Source organism: Homo sapiens, chromosome 7, assembly GCF_000001405.40.
Source record: "Homo sapiens chromosome 7, GRCh38.p14 Primary Assembly".
NCBI lineage: Eukaryota > Metazoa > Chordata > Mammalia > Primates > Hominidae > Homo > Homo sapiens.
In genome coordinates this window covers 143,181,158-143,206,961 of record NC_000007.14, presented here as the reverse complement: position 1 = coordinate 143,206,961, position 25,804 = coordinate 143,181,158, and the positions used below count along the sequence as shown (strand labels likewise).

Below are 25,804 nucleotides of genomic sequence, written 5' to 3'. Positions count from 1 at the left end.
TTTGAATGGAATGGAATATTCAGGATAAAGTGCAGCAGGTCATGAAGATAATGCAATAAGACATAGGTATTTTGTGCCTCCCACATTAGTATAGGGCCTGAGGGAAATGCAAAGCTGGAGAACTGGGCTCAATCCTCAACAGAGCTTCAGGTCCAGAGAGAAGAGCCACATAAGAGACTGACATGGTGGGTGGGAGGGAGGGAAGAGTGATAAGAGTTAAACAGAATTAACCTGTCTCTAGGTCCTAAATAGGATTGAATTGTGAAAGCTCTACTCCAGGTTCACTGCAGATATTGGAAGTAAGACAGCATTTATATACTTAGCTCTGTGGGTGCATGCTATCTTCATGCCAAAAAGTTGCTAGAATTATCTGACAAAGGAAAGAACCTGTGTAGCTGTATGTTTTGCTCAGGTGGTGGGCAGAAGTATGCAACTGAAGCTGAATTCTGTCTCTCTCCATGTATTTGTCCCTGTTTATTTGGGGACAGGTGCATTTTACTTTTAAATTGCATGTAGTAAAGTCTTATCTTCTAAATTAAAGAGATATGCCTGTCCATGTGTTAGGCTACCAATAAATAAATTGGTTGAGGGAAGGAAGTTGGAAGAGAGAAAAGTGGAAAGAAAGGAAGGAGGTAAGGAAGAGAAGGAATGAGGGAAGGAAAGAGGGAGGAAAGAAATGAAGACCTCCCTGTATGTGTGTGTGCTTCTGTGCACTATCACATGGATTTACTACAAGCAATGGCATCTGAGGTTATGGAGGAAGTGAAATCTGTGGGGGACTCTGAGGCTTTGGGCTGTGGCAGGAAAGCAGGAAGTCTTCTTTGGTGCCAGATCTCTTTGGACGTTTGCGGTGGGGAGGAATGTGACTGTTCTTCCTCCGCAAGTGAGGGTAACAAATGTGACCATGATGATGGCATAGCAACTCTGTTGCTTGCCAGTCAGCTCACGGTCCCTTGTAAGGCAGATTACCTCTAAAGAGCTGCCAAATTTCCTTTCGCTGGGCGCATCAATACAACAAACGCCAGAGAACCCTGTGCCACCTTCATTTACTGTCTGCATTGGGACTACTTGCTTTATCTCCCTCCAGCAGCGAGTCCTCCCTCCTCTGTTCCTATATTTGATGCGATCAGCCTTATGTTCCATGGTCGTATTTTTTCAAAGGGAGAGAGGGTGGATCTCTACATCGTGCGATTCTCAGGAGGGATTGTGGTTGCTCTCATTTAGGGAGTGCCCTTTGTGCTGGGCTGTGGCTTGCAAATGTGTGCATTATAAGGTGCCCGGAACTTGGATGGGTATAGTGAATATTAAATGTAAAGAGTCTAGGTATATACTGGGCCTTGATCAATATTTATGGAATTCAAAATGTTTAAATACTTAACTATTTGCTTTTCTTTGTTATTATTAGTATTATTATTAGTAGTAGTATTACCACGCCTGGCTAATTTTTGTATTTTCAGTAGAGATGGGGTTTCACCATGTTGGCCAGGCTGGTCTCGAACTCCTGACCTCGTGATCCACCTGCTTCAGCCTCCAAAAGTGCTGGGATTACAGGCTTGAGCCACCATGCCCCGCCTCTTTGTTCTTAATTCTGTTTTCATTTGTTCTCTAGCCAAGACCCCAAGTCTATAATGATCAAGAGGGTTGTTTTATTTTTGACAAGTGGAAACCCACATGTTTCTGAAAAGTGGAGTGGTGGTGGTGGTGGTGGTGGTAGCATAATCTGGAAGACCCCTAAAGAAGGCAGTGCTACCTGCCATATTTGACTTGGGGGTCAGAGCGAGAGTCTGAGTTGGAGAGTTGGGAAGCTAGAAAAATGAAGGACTAAAGTAAGAGATATTCCTTATTTCTCCTTTTCCTTTTCCACATATCTTGAGAAAGAGAAAGGTTTTTAGTTCAGCAGAAAATGGGAGATGCTGGGGCAGAGATAAAAATGCTCCCCAAACATGGCAGGGACTTCCTTGTATTTCTCGTTCTCCTTGTAGTTAGGTTGAGCTAAAGGAGATGCTACTAATGAAATTTGAAATCTTAGGGTCAGACATGTGGGAATGCACTGCCTACCCTTCCATCTTGGCAGTGACACGGGCTCATTCCCCCCAGTTTCCAGAGCTGTGTCCTTTTCATTCCTCTTTCCAAATCCACCTCCACTCAAGCTTTCAATCTGTGCCTGGGCTCTGGTTTGAATGAGCCACTGATATATTTGCAGCCACCGGGGATCTGGAGTGCAGATGCAAATGGCAGTGTTCCCTGGTAAGTGTTGGTGACAATTGGATCTTTCTCTGATTTGCATTCCCAAGGCCTGCAGGTTTTCAGAAAATCACATCTTATAGGCAGTTCTGGGGAGGGGGGAGGTTTATTTTCAATGTCAGCTACAAATGCCGGCCCATGATAATTCTTAGAATGAAAGACCTCTCATTTGCAAAGGAGAGGATAGTTAGAGCCAGAACAATTCACTTAGCAAAAATTTGGGCCCAAAAATATATATATAGGAGAAGGGATTGTTGGTGGGTAGAGAGGCCTGGAGATCAAGAGCAAGAGATGAGATAAACACAAGTTTGGAAGCCATTGGCTTGTGAGGGGACCTGAGCACTTAGAATAGAGGAGACCCCTCAGGGAGAGCTTGTATGGAGAGAGAGAAAGGTGCATCCTGACCCCATCCTGGGCATTTCTCTTTGAAACTCAGCCTTGTTATAATTCATTTCTAATTCTGATATCAGCAGTGAGGGTTCATCTAATCTATTCTCATCACTTCTTGAGCCTCTCAGCTCTCACTGGTCCTGGCTCTTGCCTGGAGATGATTTTACTCAAAATTCTAGTCCAGGATTTAGAATTGGTCTAAGTACAGATGTGCATCAGGAGGCTATTTCAAAATCCCAGATGAGCTCATACATAAAGTAAGGATTAATTTTTTATTTTGTGAACCAATTGTGTAAAAAAAAAAAAAAACAACAATGCACATTAGGAAAGTAATTCATTTAATTTCCATGACCCAGCCCCTCCTGCCTACAAGCCCCCCTCCCCCATCCCATGCAATCCACCTCATAGGTAAAAACATATTCTGGGCAAACTGACTCATTTCATGTCACATTTATCCCACTCAAGTTTGTCCCTCCTGCTTTGAGCCTGGATTCCACGTAAAGGTGGAAGGTGATTTGGGCTGGTCTCCAGGCAGTCACCACCTGCAACCTATTTTCTTCTCATCACGACACCTACGTTCAGTGTCACCTTTTCTTCTCCCTTGGGCTGCCCCTTTCTTGCTCACTCCCATGTTCCAATGCCAGCAGCTCTGTCTTTGTGCTCAGCCATGCTTGTTGTTCAGCAGCATTCCTCATTAGAATCCCATTATTTGATGGTCAGAGTAGGGTCTCCATGGTGATACAGGCACAAGTGTAGCCAGTATTCTGCCACCGCATCTTACCTACTTGGCAGGCAAGCTAGAGTTGGCCTAAATTCTGCTTTTATCATTTATGTGTTTGTTCTTATGCTTTTAGGAAAAAAAAATCCTGAAATAATGGTGAAGGACAGCAAGTATTTGCCTAGAGTGCATGCTAAGAAGTCTCCATAGATGTTTTTCTTTAAGTATCCTGACCGCTTAACATATTGATGAAGACCTCTTATTTCCAGGTCAACAATCAGCTGTTACCAACTTAAGCTTTCTAAACATTTTCTGTGAAACAAATTTTTGCCAGTAAGAAAAGGAAATTGGGAGCTGCCACTGCTTAATTAATTTGAAGCTTTGATAAGCTTTGCCAGAGAGTCGCATAATAGAATTAGCAAGTTTCTTAACAGGTGAGAAAGCACATGAGCATAAACAAAAATAGGATAAGACTATCATCAATGGGGTTTATGCACCAGCTTAAAAAGCCAGTTTGGGGGACTTTTATGACTCTGAATTAAGATTTGTGCAATATAAGATTGTCCAGGATAAAATATTTTGGGCACCAAATATTAAGCTTCTGAAATAGACCCAGAGGTTCTTGTATGATAAAAAAAAAGTATGTATAAGGTTTTGATTTGATTTTTTAAATAATGTGTTCACTACTTCCCTTTCTTCTGAGACTCCATAGAGAAAAAAATATCATAACACTAAAGAGAAGGGAATGAGGATGGCCAAGAGCAGACTGGAGATTTCATCCTATTTCTTGGTTGTGGACAATCAGAAAAAGCATATTGTAGATGAAGTGGAGTAAAGGATGCTCAGAATATGCATGTCATGGGCCTCTGGGAATGTGGTGGCTGATCAGGCTGCTAGAAGCCTGGAGGGCCTTGGCTATCGGATTCCTAGCTTTGGATAGCAGGAGCGAGACATTGTGCAAAAACCAGAGGCATCATTAAAATTCTGTCTGCCATATAGCTGCATCATTGATGCTTTCCAGTGCCTTCCTTGCCACTGCATACAGAACCATCGAAAACCTTCATATTGAGAATTCTTTTCTAGAAAAATTGAATACATTTCCAAGGAAGAACTAGGGCTTCAAGTGCAGATATTTGCACATAGATTAAACCCTTTTTTTATTATGGCATTTTGAATTTCCAGGCTAATGTCAGATTCCACACCCACATACCTAAAAGAGGAGCCAGCCTGTCAAGGTGGCCCAGTTACAAAAGAGAGCTTCCAATCAGCCTTTCCATTCAGGAGACCGTTCTACTGGAGAATGATACCTGCTTACCCAAAACAGCCTTTCCTTTTCCTTCATGAATTACTAATCAAGGATGATCAGAAATAGGAACAAAATCCACAGCCTGAAAGAGAAAGACCAAGCTAAACACCAAGAGTGAATTACCCCTGAAGAAATAAAGATCAAAGAAGACAAAAAATTTAAGCTTGTGTCCTTAGAGGAGGCACAGAAGATATTGCCTCCATAAAATAAGAGAAGGATGCTATTAAAAATAAACAATTAAGAAATGAGAAGGTGAAAATGTAAATTAGTAAGTCATTATGGAAAACAGTATGGAAATTCCTCAACAGTTAAAAATAGAACTAGCCATATGATCCAGCAACCCCACTACTGAGTATATGTCCAAAGGAAATCACTGAGAGGTATCTGAACTCTCAATGTTTATTGCAGCACTGTTTACAAGAGTCAAGATATGGGATCAACCTATGTGTTCACCAATGGGTGAATAGAGAAAGAAAATGTGTTTTATATATACACAGTGGAATACTATTTAGACATAAAAAATAACTGGAATACGGCCTGCACAGTGGCTCACACCTGTAATCCCAGCACTTTGGGCGGCCAAGGCGGGCAGATTGCCTGAGGTCAGGAGTTCGAGACCAGCCTGGCCAACATGGTGAAACCCTGTCTCTACTAAAAATACAAAAATTAGCCCGGCGTAGTGGTGCATGCCTGTGATCCCAGCTACTTGGGAGGCTGAGGTAGGAGAATTGCTTGAACCCAGGAGGTAGAGGTTACAGTGAGCCGAGATTGTGCCACTGCACTCCAGCCTGGGCAACAGTGTGAGACTCTATCTCAAAAAAAAAAAAAATTGTAGTACTATCATTTGTGGCAACATGGGTAAACCTAGAGAACATTATTTTAAGTGAAATAATCCAGGCACAAAAAGACAAATACTGCATGATCTTACCAATATGTGGAATCTTAAAAAGTTGATCTCATAGAAGTAGAGAGTAGGATAGTGGTTATCAGAGGCTGGGGAAGATAGTGAGATTAGGGGGCAAATGGGGAGAGATTTGTCAATGACTACAAAGTTACAGTTAGATAGGAGGAATTAGTTCTGGTGTTCTATTGCACAGTAGGGTGACTATGTTAGTTAACAATGTTGTGTATTTCAAAATAGTTAGAAAGGTGGGGCACAGTGGCTCAAGCCTGTAATCCCAGCACTTTGGGAGGCCAAGGAGGGTGGATCACCTGAGGTCAGTTCAAGACCAGTCTGACCAACGTGGTGAAACCCCATCTCTACTAAAAAAATACAAAAGTTAGCCAGGCGTGGTGATGCATGCCTGTAATCCCAGCTACCTGGGAGGCTGAGGCAAGAGAATTACTTGAACCCGGGAGGCAGAGGTTGCAGTGAGCCAAGATTTCACCATTGCACTACAGCCTGTGCAATAGACAAACCAACAAACAGACAAACAAACAAAACAAACATCAAAATAGGAAAATTTTGAATGTTCTCACTGTAAAGAAATGATAATTATATGAGGAGATAGATATATTAAATATCCTGATTTGATGATTACACAATTTATACATGTATTAAAATATCACATTATACCTCATAAATATGAATAATTGTTAAATGCCAATTAAAAACAAAGTAAAAAAGACACAACAGGCTTTCAGATATTTAAAGTATGATTTAAAATTACATCCAGGCAATATATGATTATAGTAAAAACAAGATGAAGTCAAGGTAATCTCTCAGAATTCAGAGCAAAACTCAATCATGAAAAAGATAAAGGAAAAGATGAGAGACACAGTTGTTTAACCCAGGAGGTCTAAGATCTGACTGAAAGAAGTTTTAGGTAGTGAAGTTAGAGACAATGGAGGGAAAAACATTATTTTTTTTTTTAAATAGAAGAAAAAATTTCAGTGCCGACAAAAAACATGTTATTTTAATTGGTAAGCCCAGAGTTGGTCTTACATAATTTTCATCAAGTGGAACATTCACTACAAATTTACTAAGACATGTTCATTCTCCCCTTTCTCCTGAAAAAAACATCAATTTTGTTTAGTGTGGAAGTGTGCACAATGAAAAATCATTTATCACACAGAGTTCCTTGCAGGGGTGTCCATGTGACCCAGCTCTGCCTGTCTGCATAAAATGCATTCGATTTTAAAAATTGGAGGTATGACTGACATACTAAAAGGTGTATATATTTAATGTATATATCTTGATGAGTTTGAAGACAAGCATATACCTATGTAAACCATCACCATAAACAATGCCATAAACATAACCATCACTTCTAAATGTAGATGCGATGCCTTGGCTGGGTGCAGTGGCTTATGTCTGTAATCCCAGCATTTGAGAGGCCGAGGTGGGCAGATCTCTTGAGCCCAGGAGTTTAAGACCAACCTGGGCAACATGGCAAAACCCTGTCTCTACTAAAAATACAAAAATTAGCCGGGCGTGGTGGCATATCCCTGTAGTCCCAGCTACTTGGGAGGCTGAGGCAGGAGAATTGCTTGAGCCAGGAGGTGGAGGCTGCAGTGAGCCAAGATCATGCCACTGCACTCCAACTTGGGTGGCAGAGGGTGAGCCTGTGTGGAAAAAAAAATGTGATGCCTCATTGTGGAGAAGCCATCTGTGACAATGAACGAGAGAGTAAGCGACAAGAAAAGAGTGGTAGGACAGGAGGGATCCTAGGTCCTTCATGACTGCGTGGAGCATTTTGTCCAGCCTCTAGACTTCATGTTACATTAAAAATATTAGTCATTATATGGTCACTGTAGCTAGATTTCTGTTATATGAAGTTGTACAATACTAGTGAATCACCAAAAATAAAGAGAAGACCCTAAAAACTTCTAGAGAAAAAGAATGTGAAAATGTACAAATGAAAAAGACACATTGCTTTCAGATTAACAATTTGTAACAAGGTGATATGGTTTGGCTCTGTGTCCCCACCGAAATCTCATCTTGAATTGTAGTTCACATAATCCCCATGTGTCATGGGAGGGACCTGGTGGGAAATGATTAGATCATGGGGGTAGTTTCCCTCATGCTGTTCCCGTGACAGTGAGTGAGTCTCATGAGCTCTGATGATTTTGTAAGCGTCTAGCATTTTCCCTGCTTGCACTCATTCTCTCTCCTGCTGACCTATGAAGGGGTGCTTTCCACCGTGATTATAAGTTTCCAGAGGTCTCCCCAGCCATGTGGAACTGTGAGTTAACTAAACTTCTTTTCTTTATAAATTACTCAGTCTCAGGTATTTCTTCATAGCAGCATGAGAATGGACTAATACACAAGGAATCTTAGAAGATAATGAAATGTATTTTAAGTTCTTAAGGGAGATTATTTTAGACCTAAATTATATACTCAACAAAACTACCAATCAAGAATGAGGGCAAAATAAAAATATTATAAACTTTCAAGGACTGAGAGAGTTTACGTTCTCAGGTCACTTTTCTGAGGGAATTACTTAAGGATGTGTTCCAGTAAGAAAGTGAGAAAATAAATGAAGGGTAAGATATGAGATCTAGAAAATAGTTAATGGATATAATTCAGACATTCAGCGAAGGAATTTCCAAATGTGAATCAGGATTAGGGCACAATTGTTGAGACTGAAATAAGAGGATAAAGGGCTTTGAAAACGGTGCTCCTGGAGCAAAAAAAGTGGATTACATCTACTTGGTAGTAGTGTGATTACAAAGCTGAGTTACTATGAGGAGACAGTAAAACATATGTGTATATTTTTTGGAGGAGGGATCCAAACAACGTAAAATAAAGCAACTGAGTAGAATTATTACAAACCCAACCTCTTGAATGCTACTGAGTCAATGATGGATAATAAGAAAATAAAATGCATTCGATTTTAAAAATTGGAGGTGTGACTGACATACTAAAAGGTGTATATATTTAATGTATATATATTGATGAGTTTGAAGACAAGTATATACCTATGTAAACCATCACCATAAACAATGCCATAAACATAACTGTCACCTCTAAAAGTTTTTTCCCTCCTTTTTTGTGATAAGGATATTTAACATAAGACTTTCCCTTTTAACAAGTTTGAAAGTAGTATACAATACAGGATTGTTAACTATATGCACTGTGCTACACAGCAGATCTCTAAGACTTACTCATCTTGTATAACTGAGACTTTGTACTTTTTGACGCAAATTTTCTCAATTCTTCCTTCCTTCAGTCCTTAGTAACCACTACTCTACTCTCTGCTTCCATGGGTTTGACTGTTTTAGATTTCTAATATAAGTGGGATCATGTAGTATTTGTTCTTCTGTGTCTGGCTTACATCACTTAGCATAATATCCTCAAGTTTCATCCATTTTGTTGCCTGTCATAGGATTTCCTTCATTATAAGGCTGAATAATATTCCACTGAGTGTGAGTGTATGTGTGTGGTATGCATATATACATACATACATATATATATTATATATACACACACGGATAAATACTGCATTTTCTTTATCCATTTATCCGTCAATTGACACTTAGGTTGTTTTCAGTATTGGCTGTTATGGATAATGCTGCAATGAACATGAGAGTGCAGATACTTCATAGAGATAGTGATTTCATTTCTTTTGGATATATATCAAGAAGTAGGATTGCTGGATCATACGGTAGTTCTATTTTTAATTTTTTGGGATCTTATTCCATAGTGTCTGTACCAATTTACATTTCCACCAACTATACTTTTTTTCCATATAGTGACTGTAGAAATTTACATTCCCACCAACAGTCTACAAGAGTTTCATTTTCTCCACATCCTACCAACATTTGCTACTTTTTCTTTTTTGATAACAGCCATTCTAACGTGATATATCATTGTTATTTACATTTTCCTGATGATTAGTGATGTTGAGCGCCTTTTCATATGCCTTTTGGCCATTTGGATGTTTTAAGAAATGTATATTCAAATCTTTTGCCCATTTTTGAATCAGGCTACTATTTTGCTATTGAGTTGTAGGACTTCCTTATGTTTTGGATATTAGTCTTTTATCAACTATATCTTTTGCAAATATTTTCTTCTATTCAATAGGTTGCCTTGTCCCTTTTGCTGATTGTTTTCTTTTTTGTGCAGTTTTTAATTTGATATAATGTCATTTGTCTATTTTTCTTTTGTTGCCTATTCTTTTGGTGTCATATCCAAAAAATCATTGTCAAGGCTAACGTCAAGAAGGTTTGCCTTTCTTTTTTTTTTTTTTGAATTTTATTGTTTCAGGTCTTACATTTAGATCTTTAACCTATTTTAAGTTGATTTTTTTGGTATGGTGTATGATAAAGGTCAAATTTTATTTACTGTATGTGGGTATCTAGTTTTCTGACACCATTTACTGAAGAAGATACTATCCTTTCCTGATTGTATATTCTTGCCCTTCTTGTCAAAAATAAGTTTACTGTAAATGCGTGGATTCATTTCTGGGAACTTCATTCTGTTCCACTGGTTGATATGTATGTTTTTATGCCACTGCCATATTGTTTTGATTTCTATAGCTTTTTAATATATTTTGAAATCAGAAAGTGTGATTCCTTCTGTTTTTTTCCTTCTTGCTCAAGACTGCTTTGGCTACTAGGGGCATCTTATGGTTCCACGTAAATTTTAGATTTTTTTCTATTTCTATAAAAATGCCATTGCAATTTTGATGGGATTACATTGAATCTGTAGATCACTTTGGATATTGTGGACATTTTGACAACATTAATTATTCCAGTCCATGAACATGAAGAAATGTCTTTTCATTTATTTGTGACTTTTTCAATTTCTTTCATCAATGTTTCAAAGAATAAATCGAAAGGAAAATTAAAAAAACTACTTTGAGACAAATAAAATGGAAAGACAGCATACTAAAACTTATGGGATGCAGTAAAAGCAGCAGGAGAGAAGTTTACAGTGATAAACATCTACATTAAAAAAAAAATCTCAGATTAAAAACCTAAATTTACCCTTCAGGGAACTAGAAAAAGAAGAACAAACTAAGCCCTAAACTAAGTTTTTACTAGAGTTAATAAAAGGAAAGAAATAATAAGATTAGAGATGGAATAAATAAAATAGAAAATATTTTAAAACAACTTAATGAAATTAAGAGTTTGTTTTTTGAAAAGATAAAAATGATAAGATAAACAAAATCCTTTAAAAACTCTTCTAAAAAATAGAAGAAGAAACAGTACTAAACTAATTTTATGAGGTCAGCATTATCCTGATATTAAAACCAAAGACACCATAAGAAAAGAAAACTACAGGCCAATATCCCTGATGAACATACATGCAAAAATCCAGAACAAAATACTGCAAAATGAAGTCAGTAGCACATTGAAAACACCATGATCAACTGGGATTTATTGTTGGGATGCGAGGATAGCTCAACCTATGCAAATCAATAAATGTATACATTACATTAACAGAATGTAGAATAAAAGTTATATCATCATCATAGCCAATGCAGAAAAACATTTGACAAAATTCAACACTCTTTCATGATGAAAACTTTCAACAAATTATGTATAAAAAGAATTTGCCCCAACATAATAAAGGCCATATATCACATGATAAGCTCATAGCTCAAAGCTGACAGCTATTCCTGTCAAGATCAAGGCAAGGTTGCCCACTCTTGCCTCTGCTATTCAACATAGTATTAGAAGTCTTTCCTAGAGCAATTAGGCAAGAGAAAGAAATAAAGGGCATCCAATTTGGAAAGGAAGAAATAAAACTATCTCTGTGTGCAGATGATATAATCCTATATGTAGAAAAGTCTAAAGACTACAAAAATCTGTTAGAACGAACAAGCAAATTCAGTACAGTTGCAAGATACAAAGCCAATATACAAAATCAGTACTGTTTATTTGCACCAAAAATGACCTATCTGATAATGAAATTTTAAAAAACTGTCAAAAATTATCACATCAAAAATAATGAAATACTTAGGAATAAACTTATAAAAGAAGTTGAAGGACTTGTACACAGAAAACTATAAAACACATTTGACTTTTATTGTGGAAATATTCTCCTTTGATTTGGGTCTATGGATTGTGTCATTGACCTTAATGGGAAACAGTTTTCTATTTGAGTTGAACAATATTTAGCCACAATATTAGAAATGCTATTTATTGGTTTTCCATATTTAAATCAACTTATAAATAAAGCATAGAAGACTGAACTATAGTTATAGAAAAGCATATGACAATTCAGAAGGAACATATTGCTTTCAGAAGTTATAAGGTGGAAAAGGGAAGGTGTTTGAAGGAAGGGTAGAGAGCTAATATACTCTTTTTATAAAGTGCATTTTATGGGCATTGAGTATAAATACTTGAATAGAAATGAAAACTTAAAATTATCACTTAACAATTTAAAGGCAATGAAAACAAGAGCTGAAAATAGTAATACAACTCAAAATTTTAGAAGAGGACAGGGTCAATAGTTTGAGAGTAATGTAAGTGACATTCAGATTCTCACTTAAAAAGAAAATATAGAGGTGGGATCTCGCTATGTTGCCCAGGCTAGTATCAAACTCCTGGCCTCAAAGAATCCTCCCGCCTCGGCCTCCCAAAATGTTGAGATTACAGGTGTGAGCCACAGCACCCAGCCAGAAAAAGAAATTCCCACTTTTTATAGTGATATGTCAATGAATATTATTTACAAATGGACAAAAAATACACATACATGTATATGTGTATGTATTTGGAATTGTGAGAGTAACCACCACAAAAACTAATGCCAGAAATTGATAGAAATGTTGCTTTTGGAAATGTTAATTGGGGTGAGACAGGAGACTGCTGCTTTTCACAAAACACCTTTTTTAGCGTTTAATTTTTTCCCCCAGAAACCAGTATTACTTTGATAATAATAATTTTGAAAGTTTCATCATTTTGAAACAACCAATTTTGCTTCTGTATTTTTTTAGGGAGAAGATTTAAAAATGAGTAATATTATTATGTTTTTGTAAGTCTTCCCAATCCATTTTTTAAAAAGGCCTTACATGAGAATTTGAGTTATGACAATTTTAACTTTCTACTCATCAGGCTATTTCACAAGAAAATAAAACCTCTCAACATTACGAGAAAGTAGTAGCAAACAATTGTGACATGTGACATGTTTTCACCAAATTACCTGTTACTAAAATGATTGGGAGCTGCTTGCTAAGAAATCTCATCATTTCCCATAAATATTTTCTCCCAGGTGGTTTTCGATGGCTTTAATGCTCTACTTCCAGCTGTCTGTGGCAATGTTTTGACAGTTGTTGACTTAATGTTTTCAGCCCCTGAGAATGATGAGACAGGAAAAAGCATTTACAAAGTACACTTACCTGTTTCCTCTGCATCCAGTATATTATTCAAAATCCATTTTGTTAATGTACAAGGAAGCATGCCATTATTTGAATACCAAATACTTTATTTTTTTAAACAACAACAAAATCCTCACTAGGGATCAAATGAAAGATAATAATGTTGTTTGTCTAACACACCTGGAACAGACATGTTTCTTCCTGGAAGGCTGTGAAAGGGTGTCAACAAAATGTCTTATTACTTGTTGTTAGCTTTTAAGGATGGTGGATCTGAGGAACAATGGCTAACACAGATAAGTCACTGGTCCAGTGAGGACCCCCAACAGGTGTCCATGTTTACAGACTGTCTTAGAGATTAGTTTAGAAATGGGGGCAGTTCCATTCACCTTTTTCCTTTTAGGAAGGTCTACCTTCTGGGGCCCTTTCCACTCCAAGTCAGAAGCCTGATGCCCAGAACCTACCCAGAATTGATTAAAACGATCTGTAGCATCTGTTTCTTGACTTGAGAGTTTCAGGATTGTTCTTGCCTTTTGCTCTTTTGCTTTTATTTATCTCCTCTTAGAAGTCCATGGACATTAAAGTTCAGAAAATGAGACCCTTAAGAAGAATCACTGCAATTTCCTGAAGAGAAAAAAGAAATAGTGCCTCTATTTCAGAAGAGTTCCACCTAGTACTTTGCAGAGGGGAATAGAGGGTAAAATAAGTTTTGTTTGGAAAATTTATCATAGGTCAAGTTCTGGAGACTGGTGATTCAACATTAGTTGTTACCCCGATACAGCTGCTTTCAATAACAGGTACGGCCAGCTTGTATCAGCCATTTGCTATATATATATTATTTTAATTATTGTTCAGGACCCTCCTGTGAGATCAGCATTATTATCCTCCTCATTTTATAGATGAGAGAATTAAGATTTGCATAGGTTAGTTTTTTGCTCAAGAATAAACAGAGTAGATGGCAGAGACTTAGAACTTTAACTTGAATTTAACTACTGTTACCATTCCTTGCTTGTAGACACTTTCTGCTCTGTGGTTATTTGGTTGTTGTTGCTGCTACTTTTGTTGTTAATTCAATTTTCTCTAAGATTCAACCTAATTTTCTTCTCAGAGCACTTTCTTAATTACTGTTTCCTCAGCATTTTGTTTTCAGTTTGTCTTTAGTCTTTTTTTTTACAGGTACCTCTATCTGGCCTTTTCAACCCAACTGTAGGTTGTTACTCTTGGTCTAGTGCCAAGTAGGAGAAATTCTTTCTGCTAAATGGCTGGTGATATGGGAGATTTTATGTTATCACACGTATAATAGAAATGAAAGGGTCAGCTTGCTAGGGTTTATCATTCCAATGCTGATGGTGAATTAGCAACATTTTGTTTATTATATAGAAACCTGTTTACTGGGGCTCAAGAGAGCATTTCTTAAATTTATTGGGCCGCAGAAATATGTCCTCCCTTAATTCAAGTTAGCACACATTGAGAGTACTCCTGGCTGCCTGAGACTCACCATTGCATAGTGTATACAATTCTTGACCAGATACGAAAAAAATGTTTGTGGCTGAAACAAAACAAAGTTCTAGAAACACACAGGATGGCAGTGGGTGTTGTTAGCATTATAATAGGTGTGACTAAATTCTCAAGATTTAGTAGCACTGATATGGTTTGGCTGTATCGCCACCCAAATCTCATCTTGAATTGTAGCTCCCACAATTCCCTTGTGTCATGGGAGGGACCCAGTGGGAGGTAATTGAATCATGGAGATAGGTCTTTCCCGTGCTGTTCTCGTGATAGTGAATAAGTCTCACGAGATCTGATGGTTTTATAAAGGTGAGATCCCCTGCACAGGCTCTCTCTTGCCTGTCGCCATGTAAGATGTCCCTTGCTCTTCCACCATGATTGTGAGGCCTCACAGCCATATGGAACTGTGAGTCAATTAAACCTCTTTCCTTTACAAGTTACCCAGTCTTGGGTATGTCTTTATGACAAAACAGCTCAGATTTTCTATGTATTCATTTCTTGAATAGATTATATGGTAATATCATTGAAAATTCAGAAGATACAAAATGTATACAGTAAAAAGTCTTCTTCCTGCTTCTTGTCTCCCAGTCCATAATTTACATCTGTGGAAGAAAACATAAATAAATATTTCCGGGCCAGGCGCGGTGGTTCACGCCTGTAATCCCAGCACTTTGGGAGGCCAAGGCGGGCAGATCACGAGGTCAGGAGTTTGAGACCAGCCTGGCCAACATGGTGAAACACCATCTCTACTGAAAATACAAAAATTAGCCAGGCGTGGTAGCAGGTGCCTGTAGTCCCAGCTACTTGGGAGGCTGAGGCAGGAGAATTGCTTGAACCCAGGAGGTGGAGGAGGTTACAGTGAGCTGAGATCATGCCACTGCACTCCAGCCTGGGCAACAGAGCAAGACTGTCTCAGAAAAAAAAATTCCCATTTTCTAACTCTATTTTAAGAAAACAATATTATTAATTTCTTATTGTATTCTTCCAGAGAAAATTAGTGTATATGCAAGCACACATGTATTTAATTATTTTTAACAACAGTATTGAATGCAAATGATAGTATATTAAATGCATTGCTTTTTTTTTGCGCCTAATAATACATTTGGAAGCCATTCCAAACACATAAATACATTTGGTTCCTTTCTCTTTCTATCTTTCTCTTTCTTGTGCCTCTTTTAATATTTTCTTTCTATAGCTTCTTACACTGAACCTTTGTATTGATATCAATTTGTATTGATGATATCCTATGATTTTCCTATTTTTTCTATTATAAACAATGCTGTAACATGTAACCTGTGTACATATGTTATCTTTTATGTGTTCAAGTATATGTATTCTTGTTTCGCTCATGTAAAATTCTTGAGTGAATGTATGTACCACCATGATTTTCATAGCTATTACTAAACTGTACTTGAGGCAGTAGCAATTAACACTTCCATCATTTATGAGCTCACCTGGTCCCTATGATCATCAGCACAGTGTGTTTTCAAACTTTTTGATCTTTGTTAATCTGATAGGTGAAAAAGTACATCTCAGAGTAGTTCTTATTTCTATTTCTCTTGTAGTAAATCAGGCTGAGCATCCTTTAAATTTTTTAAACAAACTTCTGAAAGCAACTTAATGAATTGGAAAAATCATCTAAATGTTATATGAAAACAAAAGATTACAAAAACTTTAGTATGAACCCAGTTTTGTTAAACTACACACACACACACACACACACACACACACACACAGACACACACGCTTTAAAAGTTGTCTCTGGGTTGAAGGATAATGGATGATTTTTAATTTTAATTTTTAAATACCTTTTCACATTTTATAAGCTTTTAATTTCTTAAAAGCCACCTTTATTTCATTTTCTCTAACTATCAGTTCATATCCTTTGCCAATTTTTAACTTCAGTAATTGTTCTTATTGATTTGTATGAGCTCTTAATATATTCAGAAAATTAATCTTTATCTGGAATGTGAGTGGCAAATATTATTTCCCAGTTTCTTGTTTGTCTTTGACTTTGCTTAGGTAGTTTTTGCCATGTAGTATCTTTTTACTTTATGTAACCAGATTAAATAAATCATTTTATGCTTGTTTTTTCACTTATCATGGTTAGAAGGGTCTTCTCAACTCTAAAATTAACTTTGAAATCTCCAAAATTTCTTCTAATATTTAATAGTTCCTTTTTTAAATAAAAACATGAATTATTTGATTTATTTGGCCTAGTATAAGATGTGAGAGAGACATCCAAAATTTTTTTCCACTTTGCTAGCTAGTTGTTCTAACATAATTTATTGAATAATCCATTATTCCTTTACTAATACCACTTTTACCATATACTAAATTCTCATTTTTCTGGATGTCTACTCTGTTTTATTGAGTATTGATTTCCACTGTCACACTATTTTGTGTTTTTCAGCTTCATAACATGTGTGTTATTTCATGGGGTTAGTCCTCCCTCATTACTTTTTCATTTTCAGAATGTTTCTGGCCATTCTTGCTTCATTTTTTCCAGATTATGTTTATTATCTGTCTAAAAAATTTTTGGCATTTGTGTCAAATTACAGTAAATGTAGATTCATTTAGGGAAATGTTGTATCTGATGACATTGACATTTTCCACTCAATAGCATGGTAGCCTTTCTCCTGTTCAAGTCTTCTGTGTGTATATCTGAAGCATTTAAAAGTAGTCTTCATATAGATTGTGATATGGACAGGAGGCAGCGAAATATTAGGTAGAAAAGGGCGGGTCCTTCTTGAAGCCCCACCCTCAAGCCTGGACTCACAGCCCAAAGTGAGAACATGCATTTCTGTTTTCCCGCTTAAATGTTGCCTCTTCCAAATTACCCTGGCCTGCTCCACCCCCGCCCCCCACATCCTGTGCCCATAAAAACCCCAGGCTCCACTAGCAGCAGAGCATCAGAGGAGAGAAGAGAAAAAGCAGCTTAACATTGGCAAGAAGCAGCTTGACTTCAGAGGGTCGGCTTGATAGCTGGACCTTGGAGAAGAGATGGCCTAACTCCAGAGGAAGACCCCCTTCCTGCTCTATCCACTTCCAAGCCCTTCATCCCACTGAGAACCACTTTTATCAGCAATAAAATCCCCTGCATTTACCATGTTCAGTTTGTTCCTGCGACCTGATTCTTCCTGGATGCCCAACAAGAGCTTGAGATACAGAGGGCTATCACACTGAGCTGTTAAACACTAAAGCCGTACATGGATAGCAAAGCTATAAGAGCACAGTAACACATGCCCTCTGGGGCTCCAGGGGTCATGGGTACCCCGCTGGATGCTGCTGTGGGGCCGCAAGGAGTTCTGCTCCTGCCGGCATCCAGAACTCCTCCTGGTCCCTGCACCCACTCACCTGCATGCCTCCCCTCCTACAAAGGATTTGAGAGCTGCAGGCTGAATAAACGAGCAACTCCCTTTGTGAGGCCTATGAAGGGGTCAGGGAAAATTTCCTGTTTCAGTCGTGCTCATTTTTTGTTAACTTTATTGCTCTAGTATCTTATTTTTTGTTGCTGTTTATTTTTTTCCTTCCATATTTCATGCTTTTGTTATTTAGAATAATATTTTAGTTGCTTCTCTTGGGTTTTTTATTTATATAACCATCTGCAGATAAGATACTCCACCAGGAAACTTCCAATTTTTTAAAATCCTTTAAATTAATTTCACTTCTTCTAGTTGTACTGGATACTTATCTAGGGTTAACATCAGTTAATAGGGTGAGGGTAAACATCTTTGTCTTTTTACCTGAATTTAATGGAAATAATAATGTTTTCTCATTAAGAATGATGCTAGCTGTTAAATTAGCCAGGCACGGTGGTTCATGTCTGTAATCCCAGCCACTTGGGAGGCTGAGGCAGGAGAATTGCTTGAACCTGGGAGACAGAGGTTTGCAGTGAGCCAAGACTGTGCCATCGCACTGCACTCCAGCCTGGACAACAGAGTGAGACTCCGTCTAAAAAAAAAAAAAAGAATGATGCTTGCTAGCTATTAAGAGATAGATATATTTTATCATGTTAGGAAATCATCTATTTTTATTGTAAGATTTTTTAATAATTAGGAATGGTTCTTGAATTTTATTTTTCAGCACTTAACATTATTATATGATTTGTCTCTTTAGTATTATTAATATGGTTAATTATATTGATATGTTTTCTAATATTAAACCATCTTTACTTTTATGAAATAAACCTGTATTCTAGATTTAAATTTAATACTAAATCTTATTTAGTATTTTTGTATAAACACTGATAAGTGAGGTGAGGTTTATTTGTAGTTTTCTGGGAGACAATTTTTGTTAGGTTTTGATATCTAAATTATATTTATTTCACAAAACAAATTTGGAAGCTTCCTTTAACTTTTGTGCTGTGAAACAATTTACATAGACTTCATATTATTTGCTTTTAAAAAGTTGATAGAATTCCCTTGTGAACATCTGGTGCCAGCATTATTTGAGGAGTGGCTCTTCACAACTTTCTCTAGCTCAACTGTGATGATTATTCTGCTTAGATTTTCTTGAAGTCAATTTTAGTAAATTATATTTTTCTAGGAACATCTATCTTATCTACGTTTTCAAACTCTAGCATAGAGTTAAACAAAATAGTTTCTTAAAAGTACTGCAATTTCTCTGATTTGTAGTTATTTTTCTTTCATGTCTTATTTTGTGTATTTATGCCTTTTTTCTTTCTTGATTATGTAAGCTAATGATGCCAATTTTACTGCCTCTTTTCAATGAACCAGTTTTGTATCCGTTTTAACTTTTTTATATTTTATTTATCAAATCAATATTTAATATGTTCTGATTTCCTTAGATTTATTTCGTAATTATCCTAAATGTTTGGTTTATATTTATAATTTTTTATTTTTATAATTTTGTTTTATTTTTAGTTAACATGTAGTAATTGTACATATTAATAGGACCCAGTGATATTTGGGTACATGTATACCATGTGGGATGATCAAATCTGAGTAATCTGCATATCTATCACTTCAAACATTTCTTTGTGTTGGAAACATTCAAAATCCTCTCTTCTAGCAATTTGAAAATACACAGTAAATTATTGTTAACTATAAGTCACCCTACAGTGCTACTCTAGAACTTATTCCTCTATCTAGATTTATATATATATATATATATATATATATATATATATATATATATATATATATATTTTTTTTTTTTTTTTTCTGAGATGGAGTTTTGCTCTTTTGCCTAGGCTGGAGTGTAGTGGTGTGATCTTCGCTCACTGCAACCTCTGCCTTCTGGTTTCAAGCGATTCTCCTGCCTCAGCCTCCTGAGTAGCTGGGATTACAGGCACCCACCACCACGCCTGGCTAATTTTTGTATTTTTAGTAGAGACAGGGTTTCACCATGTTGGCCAGGCTGGTCTCGAACCCCTGACCTCGTGATCCACCCGCCTCAGCCTCCCAAAGTGCTGGGATTACAGGCGTGAGCCACGGCGCCTGGCCTAGATTTATATTTTTAACAATTACCTCTTTATATCTTATTTACTCATTTAGGCCTTTCCTGACTGGGCTGATCTAACACCACCACCATGATGTGCTATTCATTCTAGGTTTTATTACCAATGCTTTCCCACTAGACTAGAAGATCCATGATGACAAGAGCCCTGTTCATTGTATACATAGCAACTGGAATAGAATATGCCATATAGTTGGTGTTCAGCCAATACTTGTTCAACTAATAACTGAATGATCCTCTACTTATACACGTCACAGGACAGAAACATGGGACTTACTGATGAGTTGCATGAAGTGAGTAAGACAGAAGACACATCCATGGTGGTTCCTAGCATTCTGACTTCACCAGTGGAAATAATGTGGCACTATTTAATGAGTTGGAGAAAACTGAAAAGGAAATGTGTTTCAAGGGGAAAATTAAGAATCCAAGTTTGCATGTTCTACTTTTGAGCGACCACTCACATAGATGTTTCAACATAGTTTTTATATTCTAAAAGATATTTTAAAATGAATTTTTAAAATTTGGCAGTCGACTTTTTAGCGCTGACATTCAAGGATCATCGGATGTTTAAGGAAAGACTCGATCACGAGAGAAAACAAACTGAAACACATAGAAAAATGAAACTTGGAGGAGGAAAAAATATAGAGGGAGTAGAACATAGTTAAAACATGTCTAATGATTTTTTTTCATTGACTGGCACCCTTTCTATTGAATATTGGGGATATAGGCAGAAATTGGTGGATTAGTAGATTCACTAATGGGAAAAAGAGGATTGTCCTTCAAATGTTGCCTGACAAAGACTTTAAGGGCTGAAATGGGTCAGGGAGAAGAGAGGCTGAAGGTTTGGAGACTGAGAAAAAGATGTGAGATAGTCATTGTGGGGACTTTAATGAGTGACTTCTCTAGGGAAATATGGGATGGAAATGCTCAATGAAGTTACTCGTTTGAGGCTGAATAGCATGAATTTGTAGGAACATGAACTCATCCAGTTCTGAAATACTCTCAAGTAACACTCAGCTGCTTAGAAGCAAACACAGAATGTTAAATAGTCATTTAAATGTGGGATTATTTCACATTTAGAAGGGTCAGGAATTTAGAATATTGTATGATTTATTTATATAAAAGCTATATTAGGGAAATTCTCAAACATATTCTGAAATAGAATAGTAGAAAGAACTCCACATGCCTGAAGCCTTGTTTAAAAAAACATTAGCATAAGAATAACCCAAACCACCCCGTTCTCTACTCCTTTGTCCTATGTTGGATTAATTCAAAGCAAATCACAGATACAGCTCATTTCATCTGTAAATATTGAAGCTATTTTTGAAGGGTGAGTATAATGATTGACCAGTAATCCAAATTGAATATGAAAGGAAGAGAGGACAGGCCTGATAGAGGGACAGAGAATATAGAGGTGTCAATGGATTGAAAGCCTGTGATGTTTAATTTGTGATTTGTTTGCATTTTTAATAAAACCCAATAGTGAGAGAGCCAATCAACAAAATAATGTGCACTATCCTTTCTCTCAAATCTTTTTTACTTACCAATTCTCTTTCTAATAAAAATCAATATAAATCTTTTAAAATTTTAAAATTAGTGAATACATGTTCTAAGTAATTCAAACAATGCATAAAGGCATAAAATAAACGGTAAATATTTCATTTATTCCCCAGATACCCAGTGACACCACTCAGAAGCCCTCTGTGAATTATTTTTGGTATATTTGTCCAGAAACTTTGCATGTACATATATATACATACAAATATATAAGTATTATGAAAAAAAGAAATACAGATGGAATCATAAAATATCTCCTTGCTTTTTGCACTGTGTATTGGAAATCTTTTCATCTCAGGAAGCATGCATCTATCTCATTTAAAAAAGGTTAACATAATATTCATTTCAGACATTCAATTCCCGTCATTCATGAACAGTGCAGCTGTGAAGAGCCTCTTGCACATATTTTTGCTTATTTATACAAAACCATGCTTAGAAAAAATTCTTAGTAATTTTTAGGATGAAAGGTGTTTTATGCATTATTAATTTTGATAAATAGTTCCACATTATTTTGGTTATATCTTTGAAAGATGGAGACAAAATGCATTTCAAACTTCTGCTCAGAAAACTTCCCAAGTTATCTAAATGTGTTTAAAAGGCATGTGGAGGGAGAAAGAGAGTTGTCAGGAACTAGTTTCAGAACATTCTTCTATTTTGGTGGCTATACAACCCTGCTGCACAGCAGAATCACCTGGAGATCTTAGAAAATTGTGTGAGTTCTAACACTAGAAATTCTGACTTAATAGATCTGAGATTGGGTTTGAACATTGGTATTTTCAAAAATCAACCTAGAGATTCTAATGGGTAGCCAGTGCTTAGAATCACTGCTTTAAACAGAGCAAGGGGAGGTAGAGGGCTCAGGTAAAGAATATGACAGTACCACTAAGATTGTACCCATGAAGCAAAAAAGAAATGATCAATTTCCTATATAAAAAGCCACATCAGGCGAAAAGGGTCAGATGAGGGTTGGAGAAGAAAAGAAGAGAGAAAAGAGAGGTCTAGGTGAGGGAATGGCAGAGCTGGTAAGGCCAGGTCCTGTGGTCTTCTTGGGTGCTGGTCACAGAGTCCACTCTTTTGGGTAAAGATGAAGTCGAAGCTGAAGCCGCTTCCAGGCTCTTCTCAGCCCAGGGTTATCTTGAATCAGTAGAATTGAGTGGCTGGCAGGGTAGGCAGCCATGATGATCTGGCACAAATTATTCCACAGACTGTTGATGTCAAACATGTTGGACAGGTAGATAAACAGAGCAACTGCATTGAAAATGTAGAGAATGAGAAAGTAGCTGATAGCTTTGATGGCCCCCATGTGAGCCTCCATGCTGGGGTCGTTGGACCCTGTGGCATTGCTTCCCATGTGTAGGGTGTGTCTCTTGAGAGAGAGGATCAGCAGGGTGGCTGTCAGGATGAACATGATCAGAGGAGTCACAATCCCCAGGTTAAAGAAAAAAGCCAGACCGACCACATTGATCTCAGACAAGTATGTTTTCTTAGTGGAGTTGGAGGAGTGGATAGGGAAAGAATTGTTACAATACACAGTGCAGATGTTGATGCAGAACATGCTGTGACTGAAGGAAATAAACACGGACAGCCACAGAAGCCAGGGTATCAATCCAGTAATTCTCCACCTCAGTTTGAGGAAAAGGGGGTAGGAGAAATTGGCAATCTTCACAAAGTAGAAGAAACTGAGCCAGGCAGCAAACCACAGGCTACAAAAATTTAAGAATATAAAACTTATTTTGAATGCATAATATACAGCGTCTTCAGAATAAAAACTTAGGGAGGTTGAGCTGATGGTAATTTCTAACATCATGAGGCTTTGGAGAGCTATTCTGGATACACTCAGGAAAACCAGGATCCTGCCACTTGTGGAAACTGCCTTATTTTGAACCCATTCAGCTGCATGTATAGCCATGATGAAACCATTTGCAATGATACCAATGAGGTATTCAGCAAGTAAAACTGCTAAAATTAAGGTGATGAGAAATGGCGACAATTCACTTTCTGCAGGATCGCAGAGTTTAGTCATTCTGAGCTGTTGCTTCTCTTTGGTGTCTGGAGGAAAACATCTCCCTAGCATTTGATGGGCAGACTCTTGATAACTCCCAGTATTGATGTCATAGGAGGAAGCAATTGATGTATCATTTCCAAATTCACTGCATTTGTTTATTTCAGAATTCTTAGCTCTACATCTAGAGATGCAAATGTTGGAAGGATTTGGTTTCTAATCCTCTCTCTATTTTTGAACATGTTGGTAGTGGTTCAATAATGAGGCCCAGGGAAGCGCTTGAGTAGACTCTTTAAAAGCAGCTAACATGGTACTGAGGTCCGTGTTCTTTGGTAGCATCAGTTAATTTGAACATTGGTTAACTGAGTCATCATTTAACTTACTTTCACTTGTGACTGCAGAAAATGATTGAAAATAAAAACTGCTACACACATACACACACACACACGCACTTCTCATTTTGTGCTAAGAAATTTTCAAATGATTTATTTATAATTACTACATTTAAACCTCACAACAACCTTATGAGCATGTGCTTCTATTACCTCCATTTTGCAGATGAAGAAACTAAGGCATACAGAGGTTAAATAACTTGGCCAACATCACACAACTAGAGCGTGATAGAACTGGGATTCAAACCCAAGTCACCTGGTCGCAGAGTTCCTCCTCTTATCCACCATGTTATGCTACCTAGACCTGTGGATTCTTTTGTGTGCCCAAGACTAAATGCAGGGTTGATTCCACTATGACATTTTTTTCCTGGTAGCCTTTTATGTCCCCACCCTCTAAAGAAAAATCAATAAAGCAAGAAGACACTGATTTTTAAGAGATAGGACTCTCTTTTCAAAGTAGATTACTTGAGAGGTAATAAATTTAATTATACATAAAAGATCATACACACACACACACACACACACATATTCACCTTTCATTTTAAGCAAAACTAGGAAAATAAGAGTTGAAGGTAAAACTCCCTAGTTCCTAGCAAGGTAAGCTAGCGAACCTGAGAATAAAAGCAATGTCCCAATTCATCCAATTTTGGAATATTAAAACAAAAAGAAAGGAAAAAAGAATCACTTTTATCTTAAGGAATTTTTTTCTGATTTTAAAACGCAAGCATAGGACACATAATGATAAAATGGACTTTTCATTTCAGGGTAAATTAATTTTTATGAATGTATGTAACTTTAAAATAATGATGAAGTAATAATTCTAATAAAGAGAAAGTTGGTGGGTGAGAAGTCTCAGAAAATCTTTATAACATTTGGTTTTTACTTAAAGCCTTTTAAAAACAAGGCAAGAACTCATAAACGTTTTCTGGCTTGATTAATGATTTTAGATGAGTTGTTACGAATTTTACCATCTCATTTGAAAATCACTATTCCTGAACAAATATTTCCCTTGAATACAGCGTAATAGACAACTGCTCCTCTCTGCTTGTTTCTACCCATTTGCACAAGTAGGCCTGGAGTATCTCAGGACCTCCAGTTTGGTTTTAAAGAGGATTTTTCTTGCCACTGGCTTTCCCCTACTTCTGCTGATCCAGGCTTCCAAGAGTGGGAGGAGAAACAGGACATGGTCCCTTCAGAGGCTGTTGCGTCTTTCCTCATTTGATTTGTTTATCCATGTATCCCACTCTGAGCCCCTAGCCCATGCCAGACACCCAGGAGGCAGTACATAGATACTTGCTGGGTTGATATATGGCCTTAGTGAAGACCTTCAGCTCAGAGAAGCTCTTTATGAGAGACATGAGGAGGAATGGCAGTTCCACGTCTCCTCAAATTTGAAAATCTGCAGGTCCTATGCCTAAATCAAGTGTCAGAGCATAAACAGTGAGGTTCAGTGAGAACACAGCAGACTGTAGAGAACATCTGTGTAAGAAACACTGGTGGGTGACAGAGGGGAACAAAGGAAGGGGAAGCAGAGACAGAGCAGCCAGATGAGAAAGAGCTCAGACAGGGTCTGGCTTCACAGTGTAGGGTGCTGCAGAGGCTGTGGGCAGGAGCTGGGACCACAGACATCACCAAAGGCATTTCAGAAGATGCTCTGCTTGCCACAGCTTATGAAAGAGGTGCTTCCTGCAATGGAAAGAGTTTTGTTCATGGAAATTTCCAGGGGCGATCTGAGGGGGGATGAAATAACCTTTCTGGGTGAAAAGATGATCTTTTCTTTTTCTTTTTTTTATTTATTATACTTTAAGTTCTAGGGTACATGTGCACAACGTGCAGGTTTGTTACATATGTATACATGTGCCATGTGGTTTGCTGGACCCATTAACTCGTCATTTACATTAGGTGTATCTCCTAATGCTTTCCCTGCCCCCTCCCCACACC

General features: G+C 37.3%; 1 protein-coding gene and 1 long non-coding RNA gene across 2 annotated transcripts, besides 1 other annotated feature; one reads left to right on the top strand and one right to left on the bottom strand.

Annotated features, from left to right (window-relative positions):
* Positions 1-247: 247 nt before the first annotated feature.
* LOC124901764 (uncharacterized) lies at positions 248-4,906 on the top strand. The gene is made up of 2 exons (XR_007060567.1): positions 248-3,786; positions 4,535-4,906. It is a non-coding gene; the product is annotated as an uncharacterized LOC124901764 (long non-coding RNA).
* Positions 7,653-7,812: an enhancer, noted in NCBI's record as "active region_26790". NCBI's record gives its function as "activates an Ori minimal core promoter by ATAC-STARR-seq in GM12878 lymphoblastoid cells {active_cell/tissue: GM12878}" and the evidence as "EXISTENCE:reporter gene assay evidence [ECO:0000049][PMID:35858748]".
* On the bottom strand, positions 22,527-23,543 carry TAS2R39 (taste 2 receptor member 39). The gene has a single exon (NM_176881.2). It carries the CDS (start codon positions 23,541-23,543, stop codon positions 22,527-22,529), a length of 1,017 nt encoding a protein of 338 aa, NP_795362.2.
* Between the last annotated feature and the right edge of the window lie 2,261 nt (positions 23,544-25,804).